The 22,140-nt window shown below is 45.6% G+C and overlaps 1 protein-coding gene and 1 long non-coding RNA gene across 34 annotated transcripts in view, besides 6 other annotated features; one reads left to right on the top strand and one right to left on the bottom strand.

Annotated features, from left to right (window-relative positions):
* The window catches only part of SCUBE2 (signal peptide, CUB domain and EGF like domain containing 2), a 72,124-nt gene that overhangs the window by 16,468 nt on the left and 33,516 nt on the right, over window positions 1-22,140 (top strand). For 11 of the 33 annotated variants that reach the window (XM_047427353.1, XM_047427354.1, NM_001330199.3 and 8 more), the window contains exons 4-12: window positions 517-651; window positions 5,637-5,762; window positions 8,319-8,435; window positions 9,152-9,241; window positions 14,608-14,724; window positions 15,707-15,829; window positions 19,223-19,339; window positions 21,373-21,495; window positions 21,917-22,033. In XM_047427353.1, coding sequence (XP_047283309.1) covers window positions 517-651; window positions 5,637-5,762; window positions 8,319-8,435; window positions 9,152-9,241; window positions 14,608-14,724; window positions 15,707-15,829; window positions 19,223-19,339; window positions 21,373-21,495; window positions 21,917-22,033 — 1,065 coding nt within the window. The remainder of the gene's footprint in view (window positions 1-516; window positions 652-5,636; window positions 5,763-8,318; window positions 8,436-9,151; window positions 9,242-14,607; window positions 14,725-15,706; window positions 15,830-19,222; window positions 19,340-21,372; window positions 21,496-21,916; window positions 22,034-22,140) is intronic. The other 22 variants (XM_047427367.1, NM_001170690.3, XM_005253037.5 and 19 more) reach the window with 3 other exon arrangements.
* Window positions 3,623-3,712: an enhancer, noted in NCBI's record as "active region_4400". NCBI's record gives its function as "activates an Ori minimal core promoter by ATAC-STARR-seq in GM12878 lymphoblastoid cells {active_cell/tissue: GM12878}" and the evidence as "EXISTENCE:reporter gene assay evidence [ECO:0000049][PMID:35858748]".
* The window catches only part of NRIP3-DT (NRIP3 divergent transcript), a 63,704-nt gene continuing 48,904 nt past the window's right edge, over window positions 7,341-22,140 (bottom strand). The window contains exons 2-3 of the long non-coding RNA NR_183663.1: window positions 15,393-15,524; window positions 7,341-10,600 (exon numbers count right to left, since the gene is read on the bottom strand). This is a non-coding gene — a long non-coding RNA (NRIP3 divergent transcript). The remainder of the gene's footprint in view (window positions 10,601-15,392; window positions 15,525-22,140) is intronic.
* Window positions 8,029-8,528: an enhancer, noted in NCBI's record as "H3K4me1 hESC enhancer chr11:9088151-9088650 (GRCh37/hg19 assembly coordinates)". NCBI's record gives its function as "activates a minimal SCP1, AML or CMV promoter by ChIP-STARR-seq in naive H9 embryonic stem cells {active_cell/tissue: H9 hESC(naive)}" and the evidence as "EXISTENCE:reporter gene assay evidence [ECO:0000049][PMID:30033119]".
* Window positions 8,529-9,030: an enhancer, noted in NCBI's record as "H3K4me1 hESC enhancer chr11:9087649-9088150 (GRCh37/hg19 assembly coordinates)". NCBI's record gives its function as "activates a minimal SCP1, AML or CMV promoter by ChIP-STARR-seq in naive H9 embryonic stem cells {active_cell/tissue: H9 hESC(naive)}" and the evidence as "EXISTENCE:reporter gene assay evidence [ECO:0000049][PMID:30033119]".
* Window positions 13,981-14,030: an enhancer, noted in NCBI's record as "active region_4399". NCBI's record gives its function as "activates an Ori minimal core promoter by ATAC-STARR-seq in GM12878 lymphoblastoid cells {active_cell/tissue: GM12878}" and the evidence as "EXISTENCE:reporter gene assay evidence [ECO:0000049][PMID:35858748]".
* Window positions 14,051-14,100: an enhancer, noted in NCBI's record as "active region_4398". NCBI's record gives its function as "activates an Ori minimal core promoter by ATAC-STARR-seq in GM12878 lymphoblastoid cells {active_cell/tissue: GM12878}" and the evidence as "EXISTENCE:reporter gene assay evidence [ECO:0000049][PMID:35858748]".
* Window positions 14,191-14,240: a silencer, noted in NCBI's record as "silent region_3120". NCBI's record gives its function as "represses an Ori minimal core promoter by ATAC-STARR-seq in GM12878 lymphoblastoid cells {active_cell/tissue: GM12878}" and the evidence as "EXISTENCE:reporter gene assay evidence [ECO:0000049][PMID:35858748]".

Genomic DNA, 22,140 nt, shown 5'->3' with positions numbered 1-22,140 from the left:
AAATCCAAGTGATTTTCCTGCCTCAGTAGCTGGGATTACAGGCATGTGCCACCATGCCTAGCTGATTTTTGTGTTTTTAATAGAGACGGGGTTTCACCATGTTGGCCAGGCTGGTCTTGAATTCCTGACCTCAGGTGATCCGCCTGCCTCAGCCTCCCAAAGTGCTGGGATTACAGGCTTGAGCCGCCACACCTGGCCAAGGGAAGGAATTTTATCTTCCTTATCTATATTTTGCTGTCTCCTCTAGCACCATGCTGTGGAAAGAGAAGATGTTCAACAAATATTTACTGAGCTGATGACCTTGTGTCCATGTGGCGGTCCTGGCCAAGTGAGCCCCAGACCCGTAAGGACTGGGTAGTTGTCTGTGGACCTTACCGGCTTTGATTCTGAAAGCTTCTGTGGTGCAGGGACGTGAAGAGGAACCTCATCTTTGCTTAGCAGGGCCCCTGAGCTGCTGGGTGAGGTGGGGCATTGAAACAGTCACCAAAGCAAAGGCTAATCCCTCTCTCCTTCCAGATGTGGACGAGTGCCTGGAGAACAATGGCGGCTGCCAGCATACCTGTGTCAACGTCATGGGGAGCTATGAGTGCTGCTGCAAGGAGGGGTTTTTCCTGAGTGACAATCAGCACACCTGCATTCACCGCTCGGAAGGTACCTCTGCCCAGCTGTGGATGGGGGCAGAGCCACATCTGAGACCCTCTCCCTTGCACGCGCACACACACACTGACTCTAGAGGGGAAGCACAGGGTATAGAAAGTCTGGAGGCCTGAGGACGAGTCCAGACTCCACTGCCGGGTAACCGTGGGCAAGTTATTTGAACTTCAACTTCCTCACCTGGCAAAATAGTTGCACTGGACTGGGTGAGCTCTGAGGTCCTTTCAAACTCTCACATTTTCTGATTCTAATCTTTACATAGAATACATTTCAAACATGACTAGATGTCTCAGGAGCAATATAGTGGATGATCTGCCAAGTTTTTCAAAAAGGTGCTGAAAACCACAGCACCAGTATGAGCCTGCTCCCTGCTCTGGGTGGGTAGGGAGGAGGCTGGATCCTTCCCATGCAGACTTTCAATGAAGTGCCCTGTTTTCAGCCCCAAGCTAGATCCGGCCCTTCCATGTTTTGCATTTTTGAGCTCCGAGGGGCAGAAGGGCTCCCTCCCTGGACTTTCCGTGCTGTGGTTTCCTTCGCCTACGTCACCATTTATCATTCCTCTGTAAATTTGCCGGAAACTCTTCTCTTCTGATGTCCTTCTCTTCATTCTCTTTGCTTTGAGTTTATACCTTTTTTCATTCCTCTGTTACTTAGTAGATTCTTGAGAGGAAGGGGCATTAAGTACATGTGGCCAATCAGTTATTTTTAACTGAATGTCATCCTTTTAACTCTTCCCTGCTCTTTCTTAAGCTAAAGAGTCACATTTTGGTGGCTGTGTTCCTCTTGGAGTTGCATCTGCCTATTTTTAGGGGAAGTGCCCTAAATACTAGCCTATTAACCCCTTTGGCCATGTGCTGCTTATTCTTTCCCATTACTTAAGAATGAGGTCATTTTAATTTCTTCTACTATTTAATCACAAATTTATAGATTGTTTTAATCCTGGTCTTGGTAACTTTTCAAGGGTTTCTTCATGGAAGATGATTTTTGTCTCATTTTCCAAGGATGGCAGCTCACACCTTATACTTAACTAGAATACCTGTTTGGGTACCAAGAAAAATTGTCAGAGGAACCCCCAGGGGCCAATGGGTTTGATGGCTATCATCACCCAGAGCCTGCTCATTCTCAGCGTTTGGGGCGGGGAAGTCACACATACTGGCTTTGATCAGGCAGATTTCCTATCTTGTGCCAGGTGTGGCCCTTGATAAAGTAGCAGTTGGGTTTCATTTTCCTGCCAGGTTCTCTGGGGTCATTGGTGTGCCCTGCACTCTTGTCCAATGTAGGCCAAATTCGAGATGGGAATGAATTAGGAGGCCAGTGGCACAGAGTGATCCGAATCTCAGGGCATCTCTCCTTTTGATTGCTCAAAGCTGCTTCCTGGGAAGTCACTTTGGCTTCCTCTGCAGGTGGCTGGGGAGGGATGTGGGAACTGCAGGTTAAAGCCATCGCTTGAGCCCTCACGGTCTGGGTCCCACCCAGTTACAAAGCAGCTGGTAGCGATTAAGATCACCTCTTATCCCTGTACTTCCAGAGCCCTGGCTCAGCCCCACTCTCCCCTCCTGCAAGCCCCCGGACTGATTAGAGACACAGGCTCCTCATACCAGAAGCAAATACAAATGCAGTTCCTTTCTGCAAACTGTGTTTTCTAAATTTTCTACAATTCAGACATTCTTGGATCCCCTAAAGAGTATTTGAAGTGAACATTTTTGTCTGGAACTAAAACCAAAATCTAAGAATTTGCGTTGTGGTCTGGAAGTGCTCTCTGTGATTTTCTGTTGTGTTTCAACCTGATTGCTTGGCAAATTCATGGGAGTGTCAGCCAACAGATTATAGCAATTGGTAACGGAGAACCTTTGCATCCTAGGGTTTTGATTCTTCAAATAGAACAGCCTGTAAAAAGTTTTCTTCTAGGATTTCCTCTCTGATATGCACATTAAACTCTATGAAACTGTAGGCTTAAAAACCCACAGTGGTGCCAGACGTGGTGGCTCACACCTGTAATCCCAGCACTTTGGGAGGCCGAGGCAGGCAGATCACGAGGTCAGGAGATCGAGACCATCCTGGCTAACGCGGTGAAACCCCATCTCTACTAAAAATACAAAAAATTAGCCGGGCGTGGTGGTGGGCGCCTCTAGTCCCAGCTACTCAGGAGGCTGAGGCAGGAGAATGGCGTGAACCTGGGAGGTGGAGCTTGCAGTGAGCTGACATCGTGCCACTGCACTCCAGCCTGGGCGACAGAGTGAGACTCCACCTCAATAAAACAAAACAAACAAAACAAACCAAAACAAAACAAAACCCACAGTGGATACCTTCAAAGTGATTAAAAGAAGGTAACACAGGAAGCTAGTATTTTCTATTGCTGTTGTTTTTAATAATTATTTACCAAATGTTCTTTAATATAGGGCATCATAATCATTGACTCTGAGGGAAAGCTCAAGATACTGATTTTTTATTTTATTTTTTTTTATCCTTAGAGACTCCAAAGCTGTGATAAAGAGACTGTGTGTTTTCACCCATATAATGAGGGTAGGCTGGAGAGAAGCACATCACCCCCGGCCCGCCTTTGTTCCTATTCATGGGTGCTCAGGCTCTCAGAATGAGCACTCCTCTTTTGTTTTGTGTGTTCTGAGAATATTTAGATGGTGTACTGATGCCTTTTCAGGGCAACAGGGAAGGTGTCAGGGTGGCAAAGTGGAGGCTGTGCTTTCAGCAGGACCTGTTACCCGTTTTATGTCATGTTTTCCTCCCAATTCACAAGGCATATTTTTGTTTGGTTTCCAGAAATAATCTTCAGTGGAGCCCTGATCTTGGGGTGCACCAGAATGGGGGATTTCCAATGTTTCTGAGCTGTTTCCCTTCTGGTGAACGAACCATCCTGGACGTGACAACCAGACCAATTTTGGAAAGAGCTAGGGCCATTTGCTGGGCTGCCTAGTTTGGAACAGATTAATCTGCTCACCCCAGCAGTGGTCTTGCATTAAGTCAGAGTGCTACAAAGGCTTTGAGGTCACTTCTTGAAAAGCTGTCAGCGTTTCCAGAGCCATTTAAGTCTCTATTATGTCTTGGTAACTTCAGGTGTAGCTTGATGTGGTAGGACATTAGGTGGTAGGTTCTCTGTGTATCACAATGGCATCTGGCATACAGGCATTCTTACGAAATATTTCTTGTGTAGGTGAATTACTCTGAGGCAGTAAAGGTCACTTTGCAAATGTCTTAACAGTCTTGTAAACAGAGTGAAAAAGCAGCAGCAGCTGGCCTGTTTGGGAGTGTACTTTCCAGGTGTTCCTGCCCCCATTTCTTGGGCAGTATTATATTTACCCCCGAGCACTAGTTACTTCCCATGCTCGGCTGACCCAAGGACAAACACAACGCTTTCTGGGCCTTCTCAGACAGGACACTGCTTCTAGAGGCAGCTGTCACCTCCCGCGCCATCTCAGTACTGGGGTGCAAATCACATCTTCGGAATTACCAGCCAGAGCAAGAGAAAGCTTTCCACCAATCCAGTGCAAGTCTCTTTCTGTGTTAATTGACAGCCACCCTTGGCATGGATGAATGAATCCCAGCAACCAGCAGACTGAGTGCTGGAGTGCAGGCAGCTCATAACTGTCAGGCAAAAGAGCAAGAGGGTTTTAAGAGAGACTCCAGAAAGTATGGGATATATTAACCCTTGCACTGTCTTCTGGAATAGGAATGACATCTGTTTGTATTAAAACAATTGTTCCGTTTAAGCACAGTTTGACAGCTCTGGAGTGGGAGCTGGAGAGAGAACTTTGACTTCACTAGAACCTGTTGGCTAAGGTTTTAGGGGCACAATATAGAAGGGTGTTGGATTCTAGAGAAGTGAAAGCAACCTTTTTGTACTCGTGTTGAAAACAGTGCCCTACTAGTATTAGAGTGTCTCATTGATAGAGAGCCAATGACAACCAAGTCCCTACTCTCAGAGATGTTTTAGAGTTACATTGCACGAATGCAAAGAAGCAACATAGGAACAGGTAATTAATAATAAAGTATAAACTGAGCAGATGTCTTGAAAGTATTCTAGGGTATGAAAAGAATTCCTTCAGGATGCTGGTAGGCAGCAGGATCTCAAAGAATTAGTTTTGAGATGAGGCAGAATGCTGGTAAACCACACGGGCAGTTACCTTGCTGTGCCCCCTCATTTAGATGTGTGCCGAGCCCTGCAAGAACAGAAGCAGCTGTTCCCCTTCCCACCATCATACTACAAGGTTAAGCCTAATCAGAATTTACTGTATACCTCAAAAGAATTGTACAGCAGCTACCACACACGAGCACACTCCCTCCTTCTCTCTCTCTCTCTTCTCTCTCTCTCTGTCTCTTCTCTCCCTCCCTCTGTTCTTGTTGCTGTTGCTGTGTGATGCTGTCAGAGGCTTATGCCCTGAGGGAGGGATCAAGGGAGTGGCTGAGGGTGGTCACAGAAGACAGATCCCGGGGCATGTGGCCCGTACGAGGATGCCAAAATGCCACAGTCACACTCACCTCAGAAGGGTGGGATTGGTGGGGGCAGAGAGGGGCGTTGAAATGTTTTGAAAATTATCTTCAAGAGTATGTGAAAAAATTGAGAATCTTGATCATTCTATCTGAACATTTTCTTAGGAGGATTCTCCTTTTCTCTTTACATTCTTGATCAGCTCTTGGGTAAAGACATGGCAGAGATAAGAGCGTGAGTACCAGTTCCTGGGGTCAGCAGGCTCTGATCCTGCATGCAATAGAGAGCTCCAGTGTATTGGGAAGGCTCCCAACTCGTTAGGAGAGTTGAGACATCATATCTCTTGGGTGACAGAATAAATTTTTCATGTCTATTAATTGGCCTAGGTTGACTTTAATGACATATACTTTTCAAATGTGGGGCTGATGGAGACCTAAGCAGACAGATCTGTGGGCCACCCCTTAGCCCTTTGCCGCTCTCCCAGGGCTCAGGATTCTGACCACAGCCTAGTCACCTGTCGCACACTGCTGTTTTTCAGAGGGCCTGAGCTGCATGAATAAGGATCACGGCTGTAGTCACATCTGCAAGGAGGCCCCAAGGGGCAGCGTCGCCTGTGAGTGCAGGCCTGGTTTTGAGCTGGCCAAGAACCAGAGAGACTGCATCTGTAAGTATGGGCCAGTGCACACCTGCCATGGGAACCGTCGTATTCCACAGGCTGCCTTCTGTGGCCCAGCTCAGAAGCACCACCTCATGGCACGGCTGCAGCAGCAGGGAAGGCAGTTAGCACGGGATACCGACCTCTACCAAGTACTTGTTCACTGCAGAAGGGTGGTCTCCCTTAGGGAAGGGAAATGATATTTTAAAAAGGAACTCATCAGGAGGAAATGAAATTCAGGAGTAAGGAGTGTGAATGTTGGGGGGCAGTTCTCCCTGTTCCCACAGAATAAAACCAAATGTCCTCATCTGGCAATCACAGCTCTTTGCCACCAGGTCCTGCTTCCCCTATAAACCTCATCTGCCTCCTTTCCGCAGACACTACTCCCCTTGCCTTTGGAGAACAGCCCAAATCCTTTGATGCCTCCAGGCCTTTCCCAAGCCCTCCTGCCTTCCTGGCGTGGTGGACTCTCACTCAACCTTCAATATTCTGTTTAACTTCTAATAAGGATAAGCATAATAGCTACCTTTTGGTGGGGAATTTATTTTGTGCAAAGGCTTGTCTCAAGATGTGCCATATCCCATTTAATTCTTACAAGCACTGCACTGTGAGCTCAGTATTATTACACTCATTTTCAGTTGTCGAAGTTGTGCAGAAGGTGAAGCAACAAGGTCACACAGGGAGTGAGTGGCAAATGAGTGTTCAAACCCTGGTCTGTTGAGCTCTAAAGCTGTGCTCTTAATCCCATGCTACCATCCTCTGCTATCAGAAGCCTCCTGGGTGCTTCAGACAGGGCAGCCATCTTGTACTTTGGCTCCCACAGCACTTTCCTCAGCTGTATAGCTCTGGGTTGACTTGTGTGTTGATGTGTCTGTCTCCCCAGGTATGAGCCCCCTCCAAGTCAGGGACCTTGCCTCATTTTTCCTCTCAGTCCTCCCCTGGTACCTGCTATGGGATATGCTCAGTACACTTGTGTTTAATGAGTGGGTAAATGGGTGGCCTACACCATCGGGCCGCAGCTCCTGCACCACGATTGTAGTAACAAAACTCCACCTGGGAACAGGAAACCACTGGCAATTCATGGTGTTCCTAAACCACGATTTATGCCAGGGGAAGCACTGAGGAGTTCCCTTTAGGAACCTTCCCAAAGCCATGGACAGAAGACCCCTGCCATTTGGTGGGGATGGTGGTTTATGGTGAGTAGGAGATGAGGGGACAGTTTCACTGGTGAGGGACTTCTCTCCATTGTCTCCCTCACAAAGCAGACTGCCACCCCAAAGCTGTCCAAGCCAAGGCTGGTGCCACCATCACACTCAAGCAACAGGTTCTGACATGCTCTTAGGGCCCCTCGAAGTCAGGCTGTCCCTGAGGGCTTCCAGTGAGCTAGCAGAGTGGAGACCATTTTCCCACCTCCAGATCTTCGGAAGGAAGACCCAGACCCTCCAAGACTCACCTGCGGGGCGAGACCCTCAACATTTCATAGTCTTTCAGGGAACAGTTGCTGAAGGGGGCGGGGGGGTGGGCACCTGTAAGCTTGTTTTTAAAGATTTTAAATGTCTTTAAGATATCACTGCTCAAATAATATTGTTCTGTTATTAACTTTTTTTAATTTTAACATTAACATATTTTAACATTAACATTATTAACATTTTTAACATTATAACATTTTTAACATTAACATATTTAACGTTTGAGGAATTAACAAAGAAAAAAACTAAGACCTAGAATCTCACCACATAACCAGCTGTTTCAATTTTTCCATATTCCTATTTAGTTGTTGTTCATATGCATACACAATTTTTACACAGCTATAATCACAGGACAACACAAATATGTAATTAGTTCTTTTGAATTAGAAAAATTACAAAGGGCCTATGTAAAATGCAAACACTCCAAAGCATATAAAGAAAACATGCAGTTTCCCGCCTCCCGTTTCCCTTGCCAGAGGTAACCACGGTTAGCAGTTTGATGAATAGATAGTTTTGTAGTTGGCTTTTTTTCTTTTTGGCCTATCATCAATACATTCATATATAGTCTTGATAATTACCAGTTACTGTCACGTTAATTGTGTGCAGAATCATCCTGTGATTATCCTTCCTTCTAACTAATCTAGATTGAATCTGATGAGAGAAATTCTGACATATATGTACAAATTAAATATTGTCTGTTTTATTCCAGCATAAAGTGCTATAGCATTTCCCAAAGCCCCAGTACAGCTGTATTAATAGGTAAACTTCTCTAGATAGAACAAAGCAGTAGTCTAGAATCTCTTGGTATAATCTCCCTTATATAATAAAAGTCTCTCCCCCAACTCTCCCATCTCCCTCTTCCTGTATGACTTTGTTTAAACCCATGTTTCAGCATTTCTACAATTTGTATTGTAACTATCTGCATACACAGACACCACAGGGTCTGACTTGGAGTTATGTCTTTCGTGCACCATGCCTGGCATGCACTAGGTGCTCAAATACTTGCAGAATGAAAATCAGAATTTCTCTGGAGCAAACACAGCCCTGTGTTTGTGGAAATCTCAGTGCTTTATGTATTGATTCATTTTGCTGTCAGTGACCTGTAACCATGGGAACGGTGGGTGCCAGCACTCCTGTGACGATACAGCCGATGGCCCAGAGTGCAGCTGCCATCCACAGTACAAGATGCACACAGATGGGAGGAGCTGCCTTGGTGAGTGGCAACCCCAACACTGAGTGAGGGTCTGCACCAGCCTGCCTGTCCCTACCCCTACCCCTTAATGGTGTTTAGCACAGATGCAGGCTGTTTCCTGTGCATTTGCCCCCCCAGCAGGCCCTGTGCTGCTTCGCATGCTACAGTGGGAGTGGTCTAGGCCTGTGGGGAAGGCCCCTCTCTCCCTGTGTGACCTTGGGAAGCCCTTCCTCCTCTCCTGGACTAGGCTGCTCCTAACGCTGGTATTCCAGAGACTGGCACAACACCTCCCAGGAGGCCAGGGCAGCACGAAGTTAGAGCTGTTTATAATGATGCGGCACTTCTGGCCAGCAGGAGCCAGGGCCGTATATTTCTGGCGGGATGCCTGCCTTGCCCTTCACGGTGTGTCCTTCACTAGCTCCATTTTAGAGGTTTCCAGGCCCAAGGCTCTTTTTCTCCTCGACTCAGGGGACTGAAGCTTGCATTCCCTAGTGTCTCTTTGGTCAGTGCAATATACCTCCAAAATCTTTTCCATGTTTAATGTTTGCTAAGGATCTGTGGCCCTTTAACGGGCTGTGTCTCCCACAGAGCCTCATTACAACACATTTTTATTGCGTGAACAGAGTCACATATCTTTCATTCCTCTTATGTCTGGGATTTCAGCAAACACAGTTGTATGGGGATGAGCAATCTAACTCATTCAGTCTGAGAACCGTGCTCTTTTGCTTCTCTTGTAGAGCGAGAGGACACTGTCCTGGAGGTGACAGAGAGCAACACCACATCAGTGGTGGATGGGGATAAACGGGTGAAACGGCGGCTGCTCATGGGTAGGCACCTTCACTCCCTTTCCTTGGCCACTGCAATTGTCCTTTTCCCTCCCCAACTTATTGCATCAGACCTGAACTTGGGAGCCACATGCCCTCAGACCAGCTGGACTGGGGTGAGCAGCTCCTGTGAACCAGGGTGTGTGTCTGTTCTTCACCAGTGCTGTTGCTTAATCACCAACCAAGCAAGACCCTTGGTCTCGTGTCCATCAGAATAATCAGGTTAACGTCCCAATGCAGCCCCCACCTAGCTGTAAGACTTGGCAAACTGCCCTGAGGCTCTGTCTCTTGGTCTTTCTTTGAAATGGATGTAATAAAGTCTACCTCTTAGGGCCAGGGTATTCGCCCATTTTCATACTGCTGTAAAGAACTGCCTGAGACTGGGTAATTGATAAAGAAAGAGGCTTAATTGACTCACAGTTCCACATGGCTGGGGAGGCCTCAGGAAACTTATAATCATGGTGGAAGGCAAAGGGGAAGCAAGGTACCTTCTTCACAAGGTGGCAGGAAGGAGAATAAATGCAGGAGGAACTACCAAACACTTGTAAAACCATGAGATCTCATGATCTCACTCTATCATGAGAACAGCATGGGAACCGCCCCCATAATCCAATCACCTCCACCTGGTCTCTCCCTTGACACGAGGGGATTATGGGGATTATAATTCAGGATGAGATTTGAGTGGGGACATAAAGCCTGGCCATATCAGTTGGGATGCTCAATTAAGATAATAATATGGAAAGGTGCCCAGAGTCCAGTGCCTGGGACTGAGTGGGTGGTCAGTGAAGTCAGCTGTCTTCCTCTGAAGCAGCCTCTAGCTCAGAATGGCAGCTAGTCTTTTTTTGTGTCCACTGAGTCTTCTATTTCTGACTCAGCTGATGATAATAGTAGAAGAGATGAATGGAGAGGGGCAACACTTGGCTGTGGGACAAGGGAAGACCTGCCTGAAGGTCCAGCGGTCAAGCTGGAGATGAGCAGAAATAGAGGTGGTCATGGGGGTGGGAGTCAGACAGATCCTTTGGTGCGTTACTCCTTCTGGAGAAAGTCTGGCTCAACCTAAACAAAACCCATCTTTTGACAGTTTCTGGATTTAACAGTCAGGCAACATATCATACAGCCATTGGTTACCAAGCAGGTAACCTTTCCGAGCTCTTTTCTGCTCTTTAGAAATTATAAATTTTCATTGTCTTAAGTGAAAATAGTACAAATGAGTAACATAAACGCTTAATTACTTCTAGGCTTGTAATGAAACTCATCATTTCCTTGTCTCATAACTTCCCATTTCCTCATCCCATTTGCCAGAGGCAACAATAGTCAATTCTTCGAGCTGTTTCTTCTTCTGGCTCCTCCTCCCCCATATTTCTGAAAAAAATGAAGGGTATACAGTTATTTTTTTCTTCTTTTCTTTTCTTTTTTTTTTTTTTTTAAGACAGAGTCTCACTCTGTTGCCCCCAGGCTGGGGTGCTGTGGTGTGATCATATCTCACTGCAACCTCCGCCTCCCAGGCTCAAGCGATTCTCTCACCTCAGCTTCCTGAGTAGCTGGACTACAGGCATGTGCCACTGCGCCTGGCTAATATTTGTATTTTTTGTAGAGACAGGGTTTTGCCCTGTTGCCCAGGCTGGTCTCGAACTCCTGGGCTCTAGCGATCTGCCTACCTTGGCCTCCCAAAGTGTTTGGATTACACGTGTGAGCCTTCATGCCTGGCCCTACAGTTACTTCTTGATGTGTCTGTTTTAGATGGTAGCTTTTAACTTCCTATTATGAAAGACTAGGATTTAGCTCTCACTGCTTCCCCCCGCAATACACACACACACACACCTGACCTCTCCCTATACCCTTAATATTGTTGTCTCACAATTTAAATCAATATTATGTGCTTACATTATTCTGACTTTGAATATCTAAATACGATTCACCTGAGTCATGTAACGTGCTATGATTATATTTTCTTTGTTTGCTTAGTTTTCTAAGTACCTCTTACCAATTCTTTTGCAAATTTCAGACAAAGCTGTAAAATACTTTTCAATGTGTTCAAATATAGTGTAGGTAACTAATCAAATCAATTTTCTTGGTGAAAAAGTTTCCTCGGAGGCTTCCAGCCTGCCCTAGCAGGGCCTGGCTGTCTTGGCTGAGTGCATGTCTCTCATCTGGGCATTCACCATCAGCCTACAATTCCCTTTGCCGCTCTCCTGTTGGGTGGATCCTATGTCTTGTCTCTCATTAGTTTATCCGGCGAATGAGATAGAGGTATTTAAAAATTTGCATGCCTGAAAATGCCTTTATATTCTACCTGCACCCTTTATTGAGAATTTGGCTCAGTGTAGAATTCAGAGTTGGAAAGAATTTTCCATCACTGTTTTGAAGTTAGTGCTCCATTGTTTTCAAGAATGCAGAGTTGTTTTGAGAAGTCTAAAATCATTTTTATTCTTGATCCTTTGTGTGAAACCTGTGAAAGCTTCTCTCTGAAAGCTTCCAGGATCTTCTCCTCCTTCCCAGTGATCTGAAGTTTTACAATAATGTTCCTTATTGTGGGATTTTGCCCACCTATTTTTAGTACTTTTCAATATGAACATTCAAGTCCCTTTGTTCTGAGAAATTTTCTTACATTCTTTTCTTTGATAAATTTCTTTTTCTTTCTTTTTTTTGAGACAGAGTCTTGTTCTGTCGCCCAGGCTGGAGTCCAGTGGTGCAATCTTGGTTCACTACAACCTCCACCTCCCAGGTTCAAGTGACTTTCCTGCCTCAGCCTCCCCAGTAGCTGAGACTACAGGCACATGCCACCATGCCTGGCTAATTTTTTTTTTTGTATTTTTAGTAGAAAAGGGATTTTGCTATGTTGGCCAGGCTGGTCTCAACCTCCTGGCCTATGTGACCCACCTGTCTCGTCCTCTCAAAGTGCTGGGATTACAGGCATGAGCCACCGCACCCGTCTTCTTTGATAAATTTCTTCACTCCATTTTCTCTGTTCTTTCCCTCCGGAACTCCTGTTAGCTGGCTGTGGTAACTCCTGGATTGACCCCCTAATTTTTTTTTTTTTCTTTTCTCTCCCTTGTATTTTTATTCTTTTTCTTTTCTCTCCTTTGTATTTTTGTTCTACTTTCTAGGAGAGTTTTCATTTTTTTCTTCTAATCTTTGCACAGGATAAAGTTTTCGTTTTCATGTTTTAATTTTTCAGGCATTTTACTTTGGCCTTTGGTTTTAGGAACCTGCTCTTATTTCATGGATGCTTTTCTTGTCCCCCTGAGGAAATTAATTACGAGATTTTAACTCCTCTTCTGTTCTCTAGATTATCTTTGTTTCCTCCAGGTTTCTTTTTCCCCGTTGGTTTGATCTGGTATATTCATTCCGTATTAGAGGCTTTCCAGAAATGTCTAGTGATTCTTGACCGACTTTTCATATTTAACAGTAAAATACTAAAAAGCCAATTGGATATTCTATTGATTTGTGGGCTTCATGTTTGGGTGACGAGGCAGTGACATAGCCATTTCATCTGGAGATCCTCGAATGCTAATATCGTTAGGTCTTTTTGCTTGGGCAGGTCAATTTAGCCGGAGAGGAGTCCTTCAACCACCTGCCTGTAGGCTTGGCTGCTAGCATCCTGGGTTGCAGTGTTGTTTCAACATAGCTTTTTGGAACTTTCAATGGCTGTTATTTTAACATAGCTTTTGGAATTTTCAATGGCTTTAAATCTGCCAGTAGGGAGCTGAAGGAGTTGGGGGAAGAGGGATGAGGGTTAGAGATCTCTTTTTCAGGGTATAGACTTTCACCTGATGGTGACACCCTCTCCTCCTCTGCTATTCCTGGTGCCCTTGAGCCTGGTACCTCTCTGGTCCAGACTTCTCTGCTATAGCCAGAATAGGAGAAGGGTAGTCACATGACTATGTGGAGTTAAGGAGGAGCTCTGGGGTTTATCTCTTTCATATGTAGACTCTCCATAATCTTCCTGTTCTTAACTCCGTCCTCATTTCTGCCTCTAGAATAACTTGATACCTCCAATTCCTGAGTCTTTCTGGGACTCTGGGGCTCACAGGAGTTTACCAGCTGTTGGCACCCCCTCTGCAGACTGCTAGGATCTAGCTTTCTTCTACGCCAGATACTGCTCTCCTGCTAACATGTCACTTCCAGAATGTTTGACATCTTTTATCTATTGTCTTTTCTCCTATTTTCTTTGTCCTTAAGGATTTATACTTTAAAAAATCAATTGATTCTCATATTCGTGAGGTTTTGAAAGGAACAGAGATAAACATACATGTACTATCTGCATATTTAATTAGGATTAAGCTTGTTCCCTTTAGGGTTCCTTCTTTTTTTTTTTTTTTCTTTTCTTTTCTTGAGACAGGGTCTCGCTGTATTGCTCAGGCTGGAGTGCAGTGGCACAAACATGGCTCACTGCACCCTTGACCTCCTGGGCTCAAGTGATCTTCCTGCTTCAGCCTCCCGAGTAGCTGGGACCACAGGTGTGCGTCACCAGGCCTCGCTAATTTTTTAAAATTTGTGTAGAGATGGGGGTCTCACCACGTGGCCCAGGCTGGTCTTGAACCCCTGGGCTCAGGTGATCCTCCTGCCTCAGCCTCCCAAAGTGTTGGGATTACAGGGGTAAGCCACCACCCTCGCCACCACCCCCCACCCCCAGCCTTTAAAGTGAGGTAGCTATGGTAGAAAAATCATGTTTCTGGGTGCCTAGATGCTAACAATTCAATGAATGTTGAATAGCACTTGTCTATTACTTGGACTAACTGTATGAGATACAGAACTAGAAGGCTGTTTGCTTATTGTTCCTCATCTCCATTGTTGCAATTTAACAATTGTGGCTTATTTTTCACGTGGTTATGACAGGGCTTTCTCCTTTCAGGGAAAGTGAAACTTCAAATTTGAGTAAATTGGCAGTTGCAAGGATGAAGTCAGTAGTCTACAACAAGGCAGTGGTTGGGGCGGCGATGCTTACCCACTCTTGCTTTGCCCATTACTCATATCGAAAGGAGAAGGTTCAAGATTAAGAAAGGACCATCCCCTTTGCCCTGTTCTGCACTCACCTCTAGCCTGCCAGATGTGGTCCTACTTAGGTTGCTGGCTGCAGATCAGCAGGAACTTTCAGTGGCTTTAAATTTGCCAGTAGGGGGAGTGGCTCTGCAGATTGGGAGACATCTTTATCCCTCTGGTCACCCTGACAGTCTTCCTCAGAAACTAGAACTCATTTAGGGGGGTGGGAGGAGCTGCACCTGCTCTCCCTCTAGCCCATCTGCAGGTAGCAGAGACTTGGGGTATGACCATGAGTACCCCACCATGCTTCTTGGCTTCTGTGACCTTCGTCAGCTGTATCAGCACTTCTTTGGGAAGCTAATTGTCTTTTCTTACCTCCTTGCCAGAAACGTGTGCTGTCAACAATGGAGGCTGTGACCGCACCTGTAAGGATACTTCGACAGGTGTCCACTGCAGTTGTCCTGTTGGATTCACTCTCCAGTTGGATGGGAAGACATGTAAAGGTAGCCTTCACCTCCCCAGGGAGACTGGGTGCCCTGTTATGGAGGGAGGGCCCATGCCGCTAACATATGGGGATAAAGGCAACATACCCTCCATACCCCACGTGACTCGAGATTTGCTTATGATTCATATCAATGGGAGCTTTTTCCCCCTGGGCTAGTGGAAGGTTATAACTGAGTAAGCTTAATTAGAACCAACACTTAATTACACTAATTGTTGAGGAGGTCAGCCTCTACAAGCATCAAATAATTCATTTCAGACAGTGGCCTTATTAGAAAAAGGCAGTTAAAGGAAGCATTCATTTGCAGGAGATAATATCAACATATCATACATAATAGCCTAGAGATTATTATATAAATAACAGTCAAGATGATTATCCAGAGGACTTAATGAATAACTGTACCATTAACTTTTACTGATGAAGAGCGACCCCAATGACTTGCTCATATTTCATGGGCAAGAGTACAAAGGATTAGCCCTTTAGCATGATAAAAAGTAGATAACCAATTGCCAGACGAAACTGGGAAAAGATAAGATTGAGTATCAGGAATCATTTTAAAACATTGAGGCTATTTGATCATTGTGTAATTTGCCAAAACAAATGCTCTAGTCCTTTATAGCTTTAATCATTAAACTTGAATACATAGTGTACTAAAGAGACCCATCTTACCTTGAGAGAGCAATACAAAGATGAGAATATAACAGGACGTCATCATTCTTTCCCAGAGTTTGTTTCCTTAATGCCAATCAAGGGCATCATAAGTCAGCGTTCTCAAGACGATGAAACACTTGTCTTTCAAAACTGGTTAAGCCAGATAAGAAAACATGTATAAGGTTAAAAACATCAGCAAACATTCTTAAATGCTTTTGTGAGTCTTTTTCTTAATTTCAGAGACTAATGAACACACACAATGGCCCTTCAGGGAGTTGTGGGAAATGAGGCAAGTATTGCTCTCTGATATGCCCAATGCTTTCCTGTTGCAGATATTGATGAGTGCCAGACCCGCAATGGAGGTTGTGATCATTTCTGCAAAAACATCGTGGGCAGTTTTGACTGCGGCTGCAAGAAAGGATTTAAATTATTAACAGATGAGAAGTCTTGCCAAGGTATGTGCTGAAAACATAGCTGTGCTGCGCAATGGCCCACAGGTTGGAGCAGAGAGAACGTAGCACCCTCCTGGCAGAGACTGGCTTATCAGGCTTCTTGACAGGGCCACTAATCCAATCTCCTTCCTAGGCTTCACTCATTTCATCTATTAGGTAAAATAAAAACACTGATGTAGCTCACAGGTGTATTTGGAAATTAAGCTGTTAATGGTTAGAGAACACCTTAAAGAACCCATCGATGTGATGACAGCAGAGCTCACTGCTAGAAATGGAATGGAAAACAGAATGCAAATGGGGTTCCAGTGGGGTGTTGAGATTATGAATAATTTTCCTTTTCTAAAATTTCCTTTAATGTTATTGAATTTATCACAAAAGTTGGTGGCAAAGTCTGTAGATTTAGTTAACATACCTCCCTAGCAAAAACTTGGAGTTAACCCATGATCAAGATTATGTACCAATTGGTCTCTTTCTTATAGCACTTGTTTTTTTAATTTTTTAATTATTTATTTATTTACAGACAGAGTCTCACTCTGTTGCCCAGGCTGGAGTGCAGTGGCATCATCTTGGTTCACTGCAACCTCCGCCTTCCTGGGTTCTAGCAATTCTCCTGCCTCAGCCTCCCGAGTAGCTGGGATTACAGGCATCTGCCACCATGCTCAGCTAATTTCTGAATTTTTTTTTTTTTTTTTTTTTTTTTTTTTTTTTTTGAGACAGAGTCTCGCTCTGTCACCCAGGCTGGAGTGCAGTGGAGCTATCTTGGCTCACTGCAACCTCCGCCTCCCAGGTTCAAGCGATTCTCCTGCCTCAACCTCCTGAGTATCTGGGACTACAGGTGCGCACCATCACACCCGGCTAATTTTTGCATTTTTAGTAGAGACGGGGTTTCCCTATGTTGGTCAGGCTGGTCTTGAACTCCTGACCTCATGATCTGCCTGCCTCGGCCTCCCAAAGTGCTGAGATTACAGGTGTGAGCCACTGCGCCTGGCCAATTTCTGAATTTTTAGTAGAGTCAGGGTTTCACTGTGTTGGCCAGGCTGGTCTCGAATTCCTAACCTCAGGTGATCCGCCCTCCTAGGCCTCCCAAAGTGCTGGGATTACAGGCGTGGGCCACCGCACCTGGCCCAGCACTTGCTTTAAACCATCAGCCTTTGATCTTTGAAGAGAGGGAAGGCAGAGAGGGAGGGGGAGGGCTTGTGGGGAGGAGATGCTTGTTGATCCTTAGAGAGGATTTCAGACCCCTTCTCAAACACATCCTTCCCATATAAGGGCTGCAGCAAGGAGACTTCTCTAGGTAGCAGTTGTTGTTAGTATTAGCAGCTGTTTTGGGTGGGGGAAAGCTGTTTTCTATTTTTAGATGAGCACCTTCCCTTTGATATGCAGAAGAAGTTCTCAGGAAAGATGTGCTGTAATGTATTCTTGCTCCATTTTTGGGAATAAGGACTAATTTATTTTGTTAGAAATCTCAGAATTAGGCTGGGTGTGGTGGCTCACACTGTAATCTCAGCACTTTGGGAGGCTGAGGCAGGTCGATCACTTGTGGCCAGGAGTTTGAGACTAGTCTGGCCAACACGGCAAAACCCCGTCTCTACTAAAAATACAAAAATTAGGTGGGGGCATGGTGGAGGGCGCGGTGGCGGGCACCTGTAATCCCAGCTACTCAGGAGGCTGAGACACCAGAATCGCTTGAACCCAGGAAGCAGAGGTTGCAGTAAGTCGAGATCATGCCCACGCACTCCAGCCTGGGGGATAGAGCGAGACTCCATCTCAAAAAAAAAAAAAAAAAAATCAGAATTAAATAAAAATCAGAGTATCAGATTTCATCTTAGATAACAAAGATGTAGCATTACCTTTTTACAAAAATATTATGGTGTGATGTTTGTTTTGTTTTTCTCTTGGTTTGTTCTTAATGCATAATTTGTCAGGCAGTTCAAGTATATTCCTCTTTAAATTCAGTAAGTTAATTCTAGATAATTATTGTGTGGTTTTCTTCAGTTTGACTTGGAAAGCAAATTTGCTGTTCCACATAATGTTTCCTAGTGTATAGAGCAGGCAATACTGTTGAAGCTGTGTAAACACATTAAAAAGGAATTAGAAAAGTGATCTCATTATTTTTGGCAAAGCAAAAGCCCATACTGAGCAGCCAAAGTCAGCTACTGAACAAGTGCACTTTCTCGACAACTGGCTGATATTAATAACAGATTTCATAAAATGGCATCAATTCCTAGGGAAGAAACTAGGTTTTTCTCATTTTTCACTGATCGGTCTTGGTAGAACAAATACTTGCACAGAACAAATTTACTGAAGAAATGCCAGGATTTCTGGGAAAAGCTAGGGATGAAGAGGTTTTGCAAGAATTTGCCCTTTTTTATTTTGCTTTTTCATTCTTCCTGTTCCTTCCACATTTTTGCCTTTTATTAACATAGTTTCTCATGGCACACTCGGTGTTGAAAAAAGTGGTCTAGCAGTGGTCTAGTTGGCTTCGACTGAGTGCGGCACTGGTCCTGGTTTATCCATTTGGAGACACAAGTCGTAACTATGTTAAAATCCTCCAGAGTTCAGGGAGTGAAGCACTCAAATTCCAGCCTACAAGAAAGAGGTTGAGGGCCAGACCCAGGGAAAGAGATGCTGAGATGGACAAATGCAGCCTCCTGAGGCTGCTGTGCATGACCCCCGCTGCAGCCAAGGAGGCTTCCACACTGAACCAGGAGGCTAGCAGACTCATAGGACTGGCACATAGGGGAGGAGCAAAACCAAGGCATCGGCCAAAAGCATCCAATGTGGAGCTGAACTACCACATTTCAGGGCCTGCAAAGAGAAAATTAGTGAGGATATTAGTATTGATGCATTCTTTCAGTGCAGAGGGCATTAAAACCTAGGATTAACTGGCCTCTTGGGGCCAGAAGACTAATTCTGAGAAAATAAGAAAGGGATGGGAACTAGATTTACCTCCAAACCAAGTGTTTTCTCCTTTCAATTTGCCGTAGTTAATAAATTAATATTGCTGTTTTACTAATAGTTATATGACAATAAAAATGCATAGCTAGCACCTGTAGCTTACAAAACCCTTTTTAGGTATGTTATCTCATTTGGCTTCATTTAAACATTTTAAATTAGCCCTGCAAGTACGCATGGGTGAAAGAGACCAACTGAGTTTTGAGGGAAGTGCAGTTTGCAACAGAATGTGGAAATGAGGGCCGTGGCAGTCAGTATACTTCTTGTGGGCTGCTCCACACTTTCTTTAACACAAGTGAGTGAGGAAAATGGATAGATAATGTTTTTTACTCTGTGTGTATTGTTTTTGGTGTTGGTCAGCAACTGGTATTTATCATAAACCTATTCTTCACTCATCCCTCAGAGTGGGTTTCAGCTCCCCTCTCCCTTTGACCATTACAGATGTGGATGAGTGCTCTTTGGATAGGACCTGTGACCACAGCTGCATCAACCACCCTGGCACATTTGCTTGTGCTTGCAACCGAGGGTACACCCTGTATGGCTTCACCCACTGTGGAGGTGAGCAGACTGCCCCTGTCAAGTTGGGAGGGGAATGAGGCTGGGCCTGGAGGGGAGCAGGGCCTACCCCTGAGGTTTGCTTTCCTACATTGGGGTATGAAAGGTACATTGCAGTCCCTGAGCAATAGCGGTGAGTCCATCAACTTGAGAGCAGGATCTGCTAAAGGAAATCTCCCCACATGTATCCCTTTAACACACCGAGTGTGAAATGGAGCAGAGAGAAGAACTGAGCTCTTCCAGCTGTGAATTCTCTATCGACTTGATTGACTTGCGGCTGTATTCAGAGAGTGGAAGGGTATCTCAGGAGCTGATAACCTATCTATTGGAACATCTCAGCAGATAGTAAAGTCACAGTCCTCAGAGAGGCTTGGGGGGCACCCACCAATTCCACAGCCCTGCTATGCATAGGAACTGGCTGCAAAGCCTTGGTTTGAGTCCCACAACTAGGTCTTTGAGCTGGAAGCAGAACTATGAAGTTTCTCTCTCCACTCTGTGCCCATTTTGCAAAATGTTCTCATGTCTCATAACCTCATGGTCAAGCAGGCTATGCCATAAACTGGATTTGTTACCAACTAACTCCCACTCCACTCCCCCAGCCATCAGATTCACCCAGCAATCTTTGAGAATACAGGTTCAGATTCCAATTCAGAATGTCTAGGACTTCCAAGGTCATCTTCCTGAGGATCTATAGGATTTGGGAACCACTGGCTTAAATACTTCCTGACCAGTCCTGAGTCTTGTGCTTTAGAAGATTGGATATGCTGGGCGTGGTGGCTTACGGCTCTAATCCCAGAACTTTGGGAGGCCAAGGCGGGCGGATCACCTGAGGTCGGGAGTTCGAGACCAGCCTAACCAACATGGAGAAACCCTGTCTCTACTAAAAATACAAGATTAGCCGGGCGTGGTGGCGCATGCCTGTAATCCCAGCTACTTGGGAGCTGAGGCAGGAAAATTGCTTGAACCCGGGAGGTGGAGGTTGCAGTGAGCCGAGGTTGTGCCATTGCACTCCAGCCTGGGCAATAAGAGCGAAACTCCACCTGAAAAAAAAAAAAAAAAAAAAAAAAAAATATATATATATATATATATATATACACTAGTGCTTTGCTACTGACAGTTATCTCCCTTCTCCCTTTCAACACATCCTTGGCATGGCCAAAGACATACTACTCTTCCCAGTCCATCAGGAAACCTCGAGGAAATGTACCCTGAGTATGGATGTATGTCTGGGTTTAGGTGGAGCTACCTTTTGATCTGGACTCAGTCTCAGGTTGATGGGAATTAGTGTAGTCACTTCCCTTTCTCTGTGCCTCAACTGTGTAAATGGTTAAGCAGGGAGTCCCAGTTCTGTCTGCCTCCCTTGCTAGGCAGCTCAGAAGGATGGTAGAGTTTTAAAATAGAAGTCTGTGCAGTGTCTGAGTTTGGACATCTGAAAGTAGAGTGCGGATCCTTCTGAGTGTTGCTAATGGAGGAATGGATTGGTCAAGAATGGAGCTTGAGTCTGGGTGTGGTGGCTCACACCTGTAATCCCAGCACTTTGGGAGGCCAAGGCAGGTGGATCACCTGAGGCCAGGAGTTCCAGACCAGCCTGGCCAACATGGTGAAACCCCATCTCTACTAAAAATGCAAAAATTAGCCAGGCGTGTTGGCACATGCCCGTAATCCCAGCTACTTGGGAGGCTGAGGCAGGAGAATTGCTTGAAGCTGGGAGACGGAGGTTGCAGTGAGCTGAGATGGTGCCACTGCACTCCAGCCTGAGTGACAAGAGCAAAATTCCATCTCAAAAAAAAAAAAAAAAAAAAAAAGAGTGGAGCTTGAGAAGGCCCTATTGAGCCTCCTGCCAGGAAATTTGCTGGGTGGGGAGTGGGGTGTGCAGTCAGCTGGTGCCGAGCGCTCATGCTAAAGGCATTCAGTGTCTTCCTTTGGTTAGTGAGTTTCAACCTTGTGACTCCCCTGCTGCTCCTTCCTCAAGGGAGGGACCATGTCAGCCCATTCAGTGACAGGCTGCTATGACAGGAGAGTATTTTGTTCCACAGACACCAATGAGTGCAGCATCAACAACGGAGGCTGTCAGCAGGTCTGTGTGAACACAGTGGGCAGCTATGAATGCCAGTGCCACCCTGGGTACAAGCTCCACTGGAATAAAAAAGACTGTGTGGGTAAGGGGAACCGAGGCACAGACTCAGACAGCAGGCTGGCCACTGGCCCAGAGGCAGTGCAGCTCTGCGTGCTCCCACATCCCACCTGACCGTCCCTCCACTGACTTCCCCACCAGCTGCAGCAACTGTTCTTTAAATAGTTCAAAAACAGGAGATACTTTGCCGGATCTTTGGTGTTTCCTTCTGTGCTTCTGTGTAGGTTGGAACTCACTTCTGTTTTCCTGGTTGCTTTTCTGCATGAAGAAATGGCATATCAGGGGCTCCTTTCCCTTGGTGGGAATAAGGCCTAGCATCTATGTTCTGTGCTGGGCATGAGCTCTACCTTCTTTTCTTGGGGCCTTTGGTGCATGGGACTCAACCATCCTTGTCACACTTGGAAATGTCCTTCTCTTTCTGTAAGTGTCTGTTTTGTCCTGTCTAGAAGTGAAGGGGCTCCTGCCCACAAGTGTGTCACCCCGTGTGTCCCTGCACTGCGGTAAGAGTGGTGGAGGAGACGGGTGCTTCCTCAGATGTCACTCTGGCATTCACCTCTCTTCAGGTGAGTGGGGCCCAGTTCCCGGGGCAGGTCCTCACACTGGGGCCAGGCCTCTCTGGCCTCCAGGTGTTAGATTCCCTCAAAGGGCTTCCAGGTCCTCCGCCAGATGC

Source organism: Homo sapiens, chromosome 11 (assembly GCF_000001405.40).
Source record: "Homo sapiens chromosome 11, GRCh38.p14 Primary Assembly".
Classification (NCBI taxonomy): domain Eukaryota; kingdom Metazoa; phylum Chordata; class Mammalia; order Primates; family Hominidae; genus Homo; species Homo sapiens.
Note: the sequence above shows the minus strand (reverse complement) of the source record. Positions and strands in the feature narration are given on the sequence as shown.